The sequence below is a fragment of the Homo sapiens genome, chromosome X (assembly GCF_000001405.40).
Source record: "Homo sapiens chromosome X, GRCh38.p14 Primary Assembly".
In the NCBI taxonomy this organism is placed as follows: domain Eukaryota; kingdom Metazoa; phylum Chordata; class Mammalia; order Primates; family Hominidae; genus Homo; species Homo sapiens.
The window spans coordinates 65,587,768-65,600,934 of NC_000023.11; the positions used below are offsets into that span (position 1 = coordinate 65,587,768).

The window sequence follows — 13,167 nt, forward strand, 5'->3', positions numbered from 1 at the left end:
GGGGAAGGGTGGAAGGAGGGGCTATGGCTTGTCTCAAAGGGGCTGGGGTATCTGCCAGTTCTGGCACAGGCCACAGGCAAGCAGGATTCTCTCTTGTTCCTCTGCCCCTCCCCTTCTCCAATCTCTATCCCCTGCCTTGGCATGAGGGCCTCTAGAGAAAAGAAAATAAAAATGAGTGGGCAGAAACAGCTGGATACAGTCAGGAACACATCTGGCCTCCCGGACTGTCTCCTGGTCCTTGTTTTGCTTCTCCCCCCATGCCCCTTCCTCCTCTGCAGGCTTCTGATAGGAGGACTGTAGCATAGCTGGGGGAAGGGTGGGGAATTAGAGTGGGGCTGGGTGATGGGGGAGAAAGTTGTTCTAAATATTAACTGGTCTTGTGAGATGTCTTCTTGGCTGGAGCCTGACCACCTAACTTACTGTTTTTCCTCCAACTGCTGCCTCCTCCTTTCCCTCTGCTGCAGGCTGGAACTAAGGGCGGCGGGTGGCGGCGGGAGGAGGAAGGAGGAGAAGCAAAGTTGGCCAGGGTCCTGCTGGCTGGGGGCCAGGACTGCCTCCCTAAACAAGCAGGCGGGGGCACATATAGCCCTGGGTTGAGTTGTTGCCCTTACTCATCTGGCCACAGCAGGAAGAAGAGGCGCCCGGAAAACCTTAGCTCTTGGCTATCTCTTCCCTGAGCACACCCTGGCCCTGGGGCCTGAGATCTCTCCATGCAGGGGCAGCCATGAGCTCCGGGGGCAGCAGCAAGGCTGGCCACACCACCCATCAGCCACCTCCAGCCCCGCCGCTCAACCAGCCATCAGTCCCTTAACTGCCAGTGTTCGTGGACCATGCAAAACAACCAAGTGAGTGAACAGGGGCTGGCTGAGGGTTGGGAGAGGTTCCTGGACAGGAAGTGCCAGCCTGTGCCCTCTTTTTTTGCCCTCAGGGACAAACATGGGAGGTTTAGGCAAACTCTTCTCAGGGGGTAGGGGACACTGAAATGTTGATCAGTGTAGGTGTTTTGACCCCCACCCCCCAACCATTTGCTTTTCTGTGTTCCTCTTGCCCTCTCTCCCTCTCTCTCTCTCTCTCCTCTCCCAACTCCCCACTCTGTTCTTATTCCTTTCTATTCCCAGGCAAGGGACTCATTAAGCCCAAAGCAATTTTAGGGTGCCCAGTGGAGAGACTCACAGAGGCTGCTAGTGCCGATGCTGCTGGTGCTGCTGCTGAGGAGTGCCCAGGACCAGGTGCCAGGGGAGTTGGAGTCAATAACCACCACTGTCAGATCTACTGACCCCCAAGCCAGTTTCTCCAGTCAGGTACCTCCTACTCCCTGTGGAGGCCTGGGGATCTCTAAGGCCCTACAGCTTCCCTGTCACTCCCATTTTCACTCCACTCTCTATCCCCTGCACTTAGCCTCCCTTGGTGGCTCTTCCATTTACTTCTTTCCCCACCCCACCCCACCCCAGTCCCAAGTTTTCAAAGTGATGACAGAAGATTAAGAGACACCCCATTCCTATCTTGGCCATTTAGTCTGCAGTTGCCTGTCTGTAACTTTCCCTGCTGTATACCGTGGCACAACTATTCTCTCAGAGCCACCAGGTGCCTCCCAAGAGCCCCTGAAAGACATCTGTTTCTAGGCTAGGCTGGTTTTTCTCCTGGAATCGCTGGGCCCAGGAGAGACTGGCCAGTCACCGTGACCACACTTGAGAGCTCACTGTCCTCCTGATTCCTGAAGACCGAGGAGGAAAAGGCACTCCAGCTCCCTGCCTGGGTGCCTTGGCTGTCACATCACTTCTGTGGATCTCAGCCCCCTTTCTGCCCTGGCCAAACCTGGGAAGGGAGAGGAAGGCAGGAGGGTCATGTCCTAACCCCTGTCATCCCTCCTCTTGCCAGTAGATCCCAGCCAGCCTAGAAGCAGGCTCACAGTTTTCCATGGAGGGCTTGGATAATAAACTGATCCTGGATGTTGGTGGCATACGCCACCTGATCTACATCAGCACCATGAGGGCCTTTCCAGGTACCCGCCTCTACAAGCCGACTGAGCCATCCCCACCTGGCACCCCAGCTGCTCAGGGCCCACTGGTCCAAGAGCTTTTCTTTTCTTTCTTTCTTTCTTTTTTTTTTTTTTCTGAGATGGAATTTCGCTCTTGTTGCCCAGACTGGAGTGCAATGGCACAATCTCGACTCAATGCAACCTCTGCCTCCTGGGTTCAAGCGATTCTCCTGCCTCAGCCTCCCAAGTAGCTGGGATTACAGGTGTACACTGCCCTGCCCAGCTAATTTTTTGTATTTAGAGGTTTCACCATGTTGGTCAGGCTGGTCTGGAACTCCTGACTACAGGTGTGAGCCACCGGGGCCGGCCAAGAGTTTTTCTTTGACTGTAATCCTGAGCTCTTTGGCTACCTGCTGGGCTACTACCATATTCAGCAGCTGCACTGCCCTGCCAACATTTGTTGGGATGTCCTAGAGGAGGAGTTGGCTTATTGGGGCCTGGCAGAAGCACCCCTGGCACCTTGCTGCTGGCTCAAGCTAAGTGGCAAGGAGACCCATACCCAGGACTTTCTGTCCTGGGAGGCCTGTGAGAATGCCTGCATGTGTGAATGCCTTCTGCTGAACCACACAGAAGGCCAGGGACTGCAAAATACTTGGAAACCGTGGCTCTGGGTGCTTCTTGACCAACCTCAGTCTTCCTTAGGGGCCAGGGTAACTCATTAACAGTGTGTGGCACCATGCTAGACACTCCTACCCCCGAAGGACGCTCCCAAAATGCCACAATGGCTACACACTTGGCATGGTGCTTGGGACTCGAATCTATAGACTTCCGGCACAATTTGAGGGCATCCCTCAAAAAGGGAAGCCAAGGATGGAAGTATAGTTAGAGAGGTGGGGATGCTGGCAGATGGGATTTCTGACAAGCATCTTTTTCTCTAGTGCCTTTCCCTGTTCTCCACACTGTTTGCCATGTGTACCCTGGGCATCTTCTTCCAGCAGACGGAAGTCCAGCTGGATTACTTCTCTGGCAACTTCACTACTATGGAACATGGGATGGGGGGTGGGGGAAAACCAGCAGCAGCAGTAGCAGCAGAACAACGGTTTTGTTTACCACTGTGCCCCACATCTGCTATACCTGGAGCTGCTCTGTCCCCTTTGGTTTGGAACTGACCTCTTTGCCTGGACCATTTCCTGCCCGAATAAGGTGTGCTTCCTGTGTAGCCCTCTCAATCTAGCTGATATCTTCTGTTTGTTGCCTGCATTGGTGGAATTGGTAGTAGGTGACAAGGCTGTATGGCAACTCTATCTTAGCCTAATCCTTGGGGCCATTCATTCTCTCTATGTCCTCAAGCTGGTTCGTCTCCTGGGCTTCCTTAAAAAGTCCTTGGCCATGAGAGTCCTTGTTCATACACTCCATTCTTCCTGGAAAGAGGTGTGTGCCTTTCTCCTGATTTGGGTGGCTGATATCTTATCCTTTGGCTTGCTCTTCCTCTATGGGGAGCTCTTAGGCATGTGTATCTCAGGTCAAAGTGAGCCCCACTTGGGAGACATCTTTACATGTCTCTGGTGGACTGTCATAACTCTCACCACTGTCGGCTAGGGAGATGTCTATCCCCTGTCTGCTCTGGGCCAGCTCACTGCTGCTGTCACAGCCACTGCAGGCATGTGCACTGGTATCTTGTTGGTTCCTGTGCTCCTGGTCCACTTCCAGTGCTATTATGCTGTGGCCCTGGCTCGCCAGAAACTAAGGCCCAGTAGGACCCTGTAAATAGGCCTATTGATCCAGAGGGATGGACCCCACTTTCCCTTCTTTCCTTTTGCCAGTTTCTGGTTACAGATAAGAAGGAGCCCCAGATCATGGCAATTCCTGCTAGTCAGGATCAGCTAACCATTACCTGCAGGTCATACTTTTCCCTATTATCAAGGGAACACCCTGAAGGAAGGGGCCTGGGGCAAGGCTAGCTAGGCTTCAGCTTTCCCTTGCCCTACCCCAGGCCTTTTTCTTAACCCCGGAGTGACCAGAAAGGATAGAAAGTAGTTCTTTCTGGATTAGTGTTATATCTCCCTCTCAACTAGTTCTCCCCTTCCATCCCCTCATCCCTGCCCCTGCCATCTAGACTAGGGTCCAGATGAGAGACTTCTGAGTGATGGTAGCCATAGGATTATCAACATCCATTGCCTATGAGTATTAATGGTGATTGTCTGTGGGTATTGATAGTTAATTGTCTGTGAGTACCTGACAGCAACGGGTTATGGCTATTGATGACAATTGGTACCTTCAGTGCCCAAGCATAGCCAGATTGTAGCATTGCTCCCCGTACTGCTCCTGGGACAAATGCTCCTTAGAGCTGTAAGAAGGCCTTTGAAGGTCCTCAGAGACTCCAAGCAGATGCGGGTCAGTCAGGTCTGAACCAAAGTACTCTAACTGCATGATATCCTCTTCATCCCTTTTTTTTTTTTTTTTTTTTTTTTGATGGAGTCTCGCTCTGTTTCCAGGCTGGAGTTCAGTGGCGCCATCTTGGCTCACTGCAACCTCTGCCTCCTATGTTCAAGCAATTCTCTTGCCTCAGCCTCTCGAGTAGCTGGGACTACAGGCACGTGCCACCACACCCAGCTAATTTTTGTGTTTTTAGTAGAGATGTGATTTCACCATGTTGGCCAGGCTGGTCTCGAACTCCTGACCTCGTGATCTGCCCACCTCGGCCTTCCAAAGTGCTGGGATTACAGGTGTGAGCCACTGTGCCTGGTCTCTCTCTTCATCCCATTTTATCCTTGCCCACTCGTCCTCATCTCTGTGACTTTTTCATAATATTTTAGATATAGTATTAGCCATCATTAATCACAATGTATTAGTCAATATTAGTCACAATACCTCAGCCATGATAACAGTATGTAATCACCTATAGATATGAAATGTTATCATTGCACATCACATGGACAGGAATGAAGAAACTGGGATTTTTGGCAACAATCGGCAAGCAATTTCCTCTTCCAGATTAAAAACACAATTTTGAGGCTGGGTGCGGTGGCTCACACCTGTAATCCCAGCACTTTGGGAGGCCAAGGTGGGCGGATCACTTGAGCTCAGGAGTTCGAGACCAGCCTGTCCAATATGGTGAAACCTCGTCTCTACTGAAAATACAAAAATTAGCCAGGTATGATGGTGCACGCCTGTAATCCCAGCTACTCAGGAGGCAGAGGCAGGAGAATCGCTTGAACCCAGGAGAAGGAGGTTGCAATGAGCCTAGATCACGTCACTGCACTCTAGCCTGGGAGACAGAGAGGGACTCCATCTCAAACCAAGACCAATTTTGATTTTGCTTATTTATTAATTCTTTATTATTTTTTCCAAACACTTTTTAGTACCTACAATGGGGCTACCCCAATCCCCGCTGCTACCTTCCCACCTCTTCTACTTTTTTTTTTTTTTAACTACCTGCATGTTTTTTCCTCCCTCCTTTTCCTGTGGTGCTTCCCACCATACACATCTTTTGGAAATGGCTTCCAGGAGGAAGAGAAGGGACCATCTCAGGTATGACTTCAAATCAAGCCACTGGGTTGTCTGAGAAGTACCCCAAGCAACTAGTCTGGACTGGGAGGTTGAATTGAGTCCTTGCTGTTGCTGAAGCTGTGAGAATAATTCTGTTTAAAAAACTTTTAAATAAAATATCCTTCAAAATATCCTTCAAAGTCTCCGTCCCAGGGTCTGTTTGTGGTTTTTCTGGGAGAGGCTTGTGGGAATCAGCAGTTGTGGGGTGGTGCAATAAACTAATGACAAGACCTTATAGACAAATTATTTTATTTTATTATTTTTTTGAGAGGGAGTCTTGCTCTGTCACCCAGGCTGGAGTGCAATGGCATGATCTCAGCTCACTGCAACCTCTGCCTCCCAGGTTCAAGCGACTCTCCTGCCTCAGCCTTCTGAGTAGCTCGGATTACAGGCGCATGCCACCACTCCCGGCTAATTTTTGTATTTTTAGTAGAGACAGGGTTTCACCATGTTGCGCAGGCTGGTCTTGGACTCCTGACCTCAGGTGATCCACCTGCCTCAGCCTCCCAAAGTGCTGGGATTACAGGCATGAGCCACTGCACCCGGCAGGCAAATTATTTGGTAGGGTAAAAAGCAGTTTGTTATCTTCATTGAGTCTGTTCCTCACAATAAACTATTATCACTCACAGACACCTTGATTGGGAGAGAAAAACTTTTTGTTTGTGTTGGGACCAGGTTGAGGAAGGGAAGGAGACAGGTCTAGGAGTTGCTGGTGGAAACTGTGGGTACTTATCAGGTGGGAGGTTGTAGGCAGAGAGGTTTCCGTTTAAGGAACACTGAGAGAGGATCAGAATTATGGCAAAACATCAAAGACAATCTCGACCTTCTCATTGCCTAGAAGTGAAAGGTGTTGGAGCAATTTGCAGCTTTCAGAGACCATTCTAGTCCACCGCCCTTAATTTAGAGTTGGGAAAAAATGAAGTTTAGAGAAGCGGGGGAATTTCCCTAAGGGCACAAAGGCAAGTAGTGGCAGAACTGGGAGTTCTGTCACCTCAGAGCAATACTGTATCAATCTTTGTCAACTCATTAGCATCAGAGGTGGGTTGTTAGAATTTCCAAATAAAAGTAGAGAAGACTGTACCCTGTTCTAGGCAGCAGCAATGGTGGTAGTGGCATGAGGGGATGGTGGTGGGATGAAGTGGTGGGGGTGGGACTAGGATGTAATGGAAAGCCTTGGAAGCTTGAATGAGTAGGCTTGGATATTAGGGTTGAAAGGACCTTTGGGAATTGGTGGCCCCTACTTGGGTAGGGGCAGAGAAGCATAGAATACCACAGAACATTATAAAAATAACCAGATAGAATGTCAGGGCTGGGAGAAACCTGGAACCTCATCAAGTCCAGCTCACTCCTGTTTCAGGTGGGGAAACTGAGATCCAGAGAGAGGCTGAAAACTTGACCTGGTTTCTACAGTGAATCAGGAGAGAAGTAGGGCTGCAACCATCCCTGTCACACAACAAGAAACACTGGCTGCCTTTGTTGTTTCCCTTGCATCTGAGTTGGATGATCAGACTTTTTAACCAAGAAAGAGAGATGAGGGAGGGGAGCCCAGTGTTTCATGGCCTGCCTAGAGCTACTTATATAATTAAACATTATAGAATGACAGCATGAAAGCCTTAGTATGCACCTGTTTCTGTAACATAACCCTATATCTGAACCCACCCTACACCTCCAGCATGTAATGCCCTGCAATACTGAGTCCAAGAAGCCCCTCAAATTTAGTGATACCTCAAGACTGAGACCACAAATCCTGTAGACAGTAGGGCCTTCCCTGAATACCAAGCACTCCCTAGTCTTTCTCATGATTAGGTTCTCACTCTCACACTAAGGTCACTCCTTTTTTCTGCCCAGGCATACATTTTATCTTCTCTGAGGAGGGAAGGGAGTAGATGGGGATGCTGAAAAGCACTTTAATTTGAGCAGTTCTTGCCATATCTTTGCCCCTCATGTGAAAACTTCTCAGCCATGGAACTAACTTGTTCCCATACCCACTCTCATAGCACAGTCACCCTCCACCCCCATTCATCCACACCCCTGACATTTACTCACTTCGCCCATGGCAGAGACCGTACTGGCCATGCTCTCTGCACAGCCCTGGAAAGCCTCTTGTTTCTAGTCACTAGGAGAGAAGGTCCAGTCTCCCAGCACACACTTCTTATCTGGATGTCTCTCATTGTGAGGGACTGGGAGGTCTGTAGGCCTACCTCAGCCTGATTCTGGCCCTATCTAGTGAAGCACTCAGTGATCTCTTGCGCCCCCCTCTGGCCTCAGTTCTTTAGCGGTTGCTACAGCAAGTGGTCTAGTTGGGCCTGCACTTCCAAGTCAGACCCATAGAGGGCAACCACTTGCCAGTTTATGAGAAATCACTCTGGGTGTGGCCTCTCCCTTTGTTCACTTCCTTTTCAGTGCTTGTAAAATTCTAGAACCACAGGCTGTCAGAATCAGAGGGTGTGTTTAGATAACTTATATTTGAATATCCTCATGATAAAGATAGAGAAACAGGCCCAGAGAAGAGATGAGACCAGTCTAAACTCAGACAGTGATTCACTCTGTGGCAGTTAGGGCTAGAATCCACGTTTCCTGAATGCCAGTTCAGAACTTTTGAAACACACGGCCAAGCATCTAACCCAAATGCCTCATTTTATAGTTGTGAAAACTGAGGCCCCGGAAAGAAGTTGACTAAGGTTGTACAGTCGTTGTGATAGAGCTAGGACTCAAACCCAGGTCTTCTGAATCCCAGTCCAGATTCAGAAACATAATGTTAGGCATCTAGTTCATCCTGTTGGTTTTTTTTTTTCTTTATAGATGAAAAGAGTTCAGAGAGGGAATCTAATTTACCTGAAGCCACAGAGTAAATTAGTGAAAATCAGAACCGGAGCCCAAGGCTGGCTGTAGAACTGGGACTGAATGGAAACTGGGGACTCTGACTTCTAGTCTCCAAGAAACCTCAATAACTTAGGGACCCCAGTGTCTTGGAATTAAATAACAGAGGTAGGGATGCAGTCCTTGCTTAAGCTGACTATGAATGAATCCCCAGGAGGCTGGAATCTGGGGCATAGTGTGTACGTGTGTGTGTTTGGGAGGGAGGGAGTCTGCTCTGGTCCCCTCCAAAAAACTCTTAAGAAAAGACTCACCTCATTTCTCCCCTTTCAAGGCCTCTGGCTTTGAGAGTGAGAAGATGACTCACTCATTGCCCACAGTTGCCGCTGAGAACATAATTGCTAGCTGGGACATCACCACAGCATCCAGCCATCACATTTGCAGAGTAGTGTCTTGTTTTGTCAAAGCTCTTTCCTATTTTTCTTTTTCTTTTTTTTTTTTTATTTCAGCTTCCTCAAGCTCCAGGGAGCCAGATGAGGCAGATACCATTACCTCTTCTTTTATAAAGAAGAAACTCATTTATGGAGGGGTGGGGGGAATGAGGGGGGACCTGAACTGGTGTTGGACTGACTGAGACTAAATCCCCAGTCCTCTGATTTCCAGCTTTCTGGAGTGTCTGCATAAATACCCAGAGTCCCAGAGGAGACAGCAGTGTCCCTCAAATGCCTGATGACAGCTCCTCCCTCATTTATTAATCACTGAGCTGGGGCCAGATACTGTACTGGGCTTTCATTGGAGACAAAGGTGACAGAAACCCTGCCTTTAAGTGTTCACAATCTGGATATTGATTAAGTCACCACTCTGCCCATTTCAATCCTCAGCTTTCTCTTCTTCTACTAGAAAAATAACTCCAACAGTGCTTTATTTTATTTTATTTATTTCTTATACATTTATTTGAGACAGAGTCTCATTCTGTTCCCCAGGCTACAGTGCAGAACTTGGTCACAGCTCACTGAAGCCTCAACCTCCTGGGCTCAAGTGATCCTCTCACTTTAGCCTCTTCTGAGTAGCTAGGACCACCATGCTTGGCTTTTCTTTTCTTTCTTTCTTTTTTTTTTTTTGAGACAGCATCCCACTATGTTGCCCAGCCTGGTCTCAAACTCCAGGACTCCAGTGATCCTCCCACCTCGGCCTCCCAAAGCACTGGGATTACAGATGTGAGCCACCTGGCCCAGCCTTGTTTTATTATTTTTGAGACAGGGTCTGGCCCTATAGTCCAAGCTGGAGTCCAGTGGTGTGATCACAGTTCACTGCAGCCTCAACCTCCTGAGCTCTGGTGATTCTCCCACCTCGCCCTCCCTAGTAGCTGGGACCACAGGCATGCAACACCATGCCCAGCTAATTTTTAATTTTTTTTGTAGAGATGGGGTTTTGCTATGTGGCCTAGACTGGTCTTAAACTCCTAGGCTCAAGCGATCTTCCTACCTCGGCCTCCCAAAGTGTTGGGATTACAGGTGTGAGCCACCATGCCCAGTCCAATAGTGCTTTTTGGCTGGAGACATTGAATCAATTTTATAACCTTTTCAGAGATTGATTAGGAGTCAGAACACTAACATTCTAGTTCCAGTTCTGTTACTTCACTGTGTAATAGTGAGCTAGTCCTTTCCTATGCATGGGCTTCAGTTTTCACATCTGCAAAATGATTTTGTGGGATGGGGTCAGAAGACAGTAGGAATATAGTTTCTAAGAACTTCTGGCTCAGATCATTTAGGAGATGAAGACACTTTGTAATCTGTGGGCAGTGTTGTTTCTTTGGGTAAAAGGCTGGAGGGTAGGAGCCCGCTGGGCCTGTTATGAGACCTTTCATCCTGCTGTCTTCCTCCTTAACTTTGTGAGGTACCCTTCCCAAGGAGCAGGGAACTTGGGCTTTCTGAAAACCTCAGAGGGACCCCATTTCTACCTCTCCTTACCAGCAACACTCAGGAAGCACCAGAACTATTTTGGATTGGAAGTTATTTAGCCAGATTCTGAGGTTGAAGTTCATGAAACAGAGACAGAATCAGAGAAGGAGAAGAGAGAGGCATAAAGGAAGAGGCAAAGAGACAGAGAAAAGAAAGAAAGAGGTGGGGTCGGGGGGAAGAGGGAAAGACTAAAGAGGAAAAAATGGAGGAGAGATAAAAATAGAGAGCAGGAATTAGAGACAGACAGAAACAGACAGAGACAGGAAGAAAAAGAAAGAAACACAGAGAGAGAAACAGAAGAGAGAAAGAAACAGAGAAGGGAAGAGGAGAGAGGAGAGAAAAACAGGGGAAAAGAGACAGAAACAAGGAAAGACAGAGAGAGAGAAAAAATATGAATGAATATGATAATATGATAGTGGACATACCTAGTCCCAGGCAGCCGCATGAGAGAAGTTGCATAAAATCCTACGTCTTGAATAGGATCTAGAAGTGAAAGAACCCTTGAAAAAATCGAGGCCAGAGAGCAATTGAGCTTTGTTCATAGTCACACAGCAAGCTGGTGGAAGTGCCAGGACTCAAACCCAAGACTAGGATAGAGTAGTTCAAAACAGACTGGCCTGAGAGTCTAGAGGTCTTGAGGTTTGTCAGTCTGTCTTTGAGGGACTGCGGGCAATGTAATAACACAGGAAGAGTGCCAGCACATTGTCTGCTGCAGAAGAGGCACTGGCATCAGGGAGTTTTGCCCTCTTCCCCCATCAGCTTTCCTCTGAGGACGAAGACATACAACATACATGCATGCCTATTAAGGCTGACTAGGGTAAGTTTGGTTCTATTACACAGCACTTTTGGGAGATTAGAGGCAGACTTCATGGAGGAGGTGACTTGTGGGTCAGGGCTTGAAGGATGAAAACAACAACCAAAATTTTAGTTGCGGCTGGGCATGCTGGCTCACGCCGGTAATCCCGGCACTTTGGGAGGCTGAGGAGGGTGGATTACCTGAGGTCAGGAATTCGAGACCAGCCTAGCCAACATGGTGAAAACTGTGTCTACTAAAAATTAAAAAAAAAAAAAAATTAACTGGGGATGGTAACACGAGCCTGTAGTCCCAGCTACTGGGAAGGCTGAGGCAGAAGAATCACTTGAACCTGGGAGGCAGAGGTTGCAGTGAGCCGGGATTGCACCATTGCATTACAGCCTAGGAAACAAGAGCAAAACTCCGTCTCAAAAAAAAAAATAATAATTTCAAAGATGCACTTATTCTTTAAAAAAATTCAAAGTAAGGCTGGGTGCAGTGGCTCACGCCCATAATCCCAGCACTTTGGGAGGCTGAGGCGGGCAGATCATGAGGTCAAGAGATCGAGACCATCCTGGCCAACATGGTGAAACCTCATCTCTACTAAAAATACAAAAATTAGCTGGGCGTAGTGGCATGTGCCTGTAGTCCCAACTACTCGGTAGGCTGAGGCAGGAGAATCACTTGAACCCGTAAGGCGGAGGTTGCAGTGAGCCGAGATAGCGCCATGACACTCCATTGTGGGTGACAGAGCGAGACTCCATCTTAAAAAATAATATTCAAAGTAGGTAGGATTTTGATAGGTGCAGAACTGGGTGGTTCTAGTTCAAGGGAATAGCACAAGGGGTAGGAGTGCTTGAAGAGGACATGAATAGGCAGCTAAGCAAGGTGTCATCTGCCTTCTGGAGGGCAGAGGGCATGAAAAAGGGGTCCCAGATTTTGGTCACCCCATGAATGACAGGTGTCTGGGTTGGCTTGTGATGACAGTGAGGAGGAAAGGGAGGCTTTTGAGAAGGGATGCAGTAAGAACAGGGTTGAGTTCTATGAAGATTCCCTCTGGCAGGCAGCCCTATGGAGGATGGATTGGAGAAAAGATACTGACATCAGGGAGCCGTGACAGATCTTTGCTGTTGTCCAGGTGACAGATAGGTAATAAGAATCTGATGTGGTGTGGTGGGGGTGGGTATAGATGCAGTGGTTTTGGGGGTGGCTTTCTAAGTTTCCTTTAGAGAAAACATAGGATCTGAATTTGGACCATTGTTGGGGGACTAAGGAGAGAGATGAGCAGAGGGCCAAAAAGCAGCCACCCAAAATTCCAGACAGGTAGCTGTCTTTTCCTAGCTTATGATTGGAGTGTGTGTGTCTTTTTAAAAATTTCTGTTGGCTGCTCTGAGAGTTTGTGTGTCTCCCAATGTTCGTGAGCAACCTCCTGCATATGCATCTGTGTATGGATGTGCGTCTCCAGGCGTCTAAATGCGTCTGTACCTTCCTCTGTGCGTGTTTCACCTAATCCATGCTGTGGTTAAACTGATCGGCTAAAGGAATGACTTCACATTGCTTCATGCATCTTAAAGTGCAGGAATAAGCATCTTTGCTCCCAAACGTGCTTCTAAATTGTGTTTGCTAAGCTAGGCTGTGGTGCATTTGATTGACTAAAAGAGCTATTCCGAATTGCCTGTGCTCTGTGGCATAGCTACAGCTTGAAATCCTATTACTGCTGGCTACAGGAATTACCATAATGTGTTTGGCTTGATTTTCCAGACAATAATTTAGGACCTTGCCACCTCTCTATGCAGATCTACACAGCTAAATGAGAAGCGGAACTGGGAATCTTTTTTGCAAACAAAACTCTGGCCCATTAAGAACTCTCTGCTGCCTTGTGAAGGTAATAGGGAGGGGAATGCAGTCTTAAAGGACCCCACAACCCTGATTATGGTTTGATTTTGCCCAGAGACAGAGATATGGAGTCCACATAGGCTTAAGGTCTCTTACAGAATTTAGACCATTTTTTTTCATTTTATTTCCATTCCAGCCTGTGAAATGGCGAGTGTTCTCATCATGCTTTCTTC

At 48.1% G+C, this 13,167-nt stretch overlaps 1 protein-coding gene across 2 annotated transcripts in view; it reads left to right on the plus strand.

The window, feature by feature from the left end:
* Window positions 610-13,167, plus strand: part of MSN (moesin) — a 153,555-nt gene continuing 140,997 nt past the window's right edge. Inside the window, exon 1 of one of the 2 annotated variants that reach the window (NM_001440778.1) lies at window positions 610-845. In NM_001440778.1, coding sequence (NP_001427707.1) covers window positions 831-845 — 15 coding nt within the window. In that variant the 5' untranslated portion in view covers window positions 610-830. Of the gene's footprint in view, window positions 846-1,175; window positions 1,302-13,167 lie in introns of those variants that run through there. The other variant, XM_011530959.1, reaches the window with a different exon arrangement.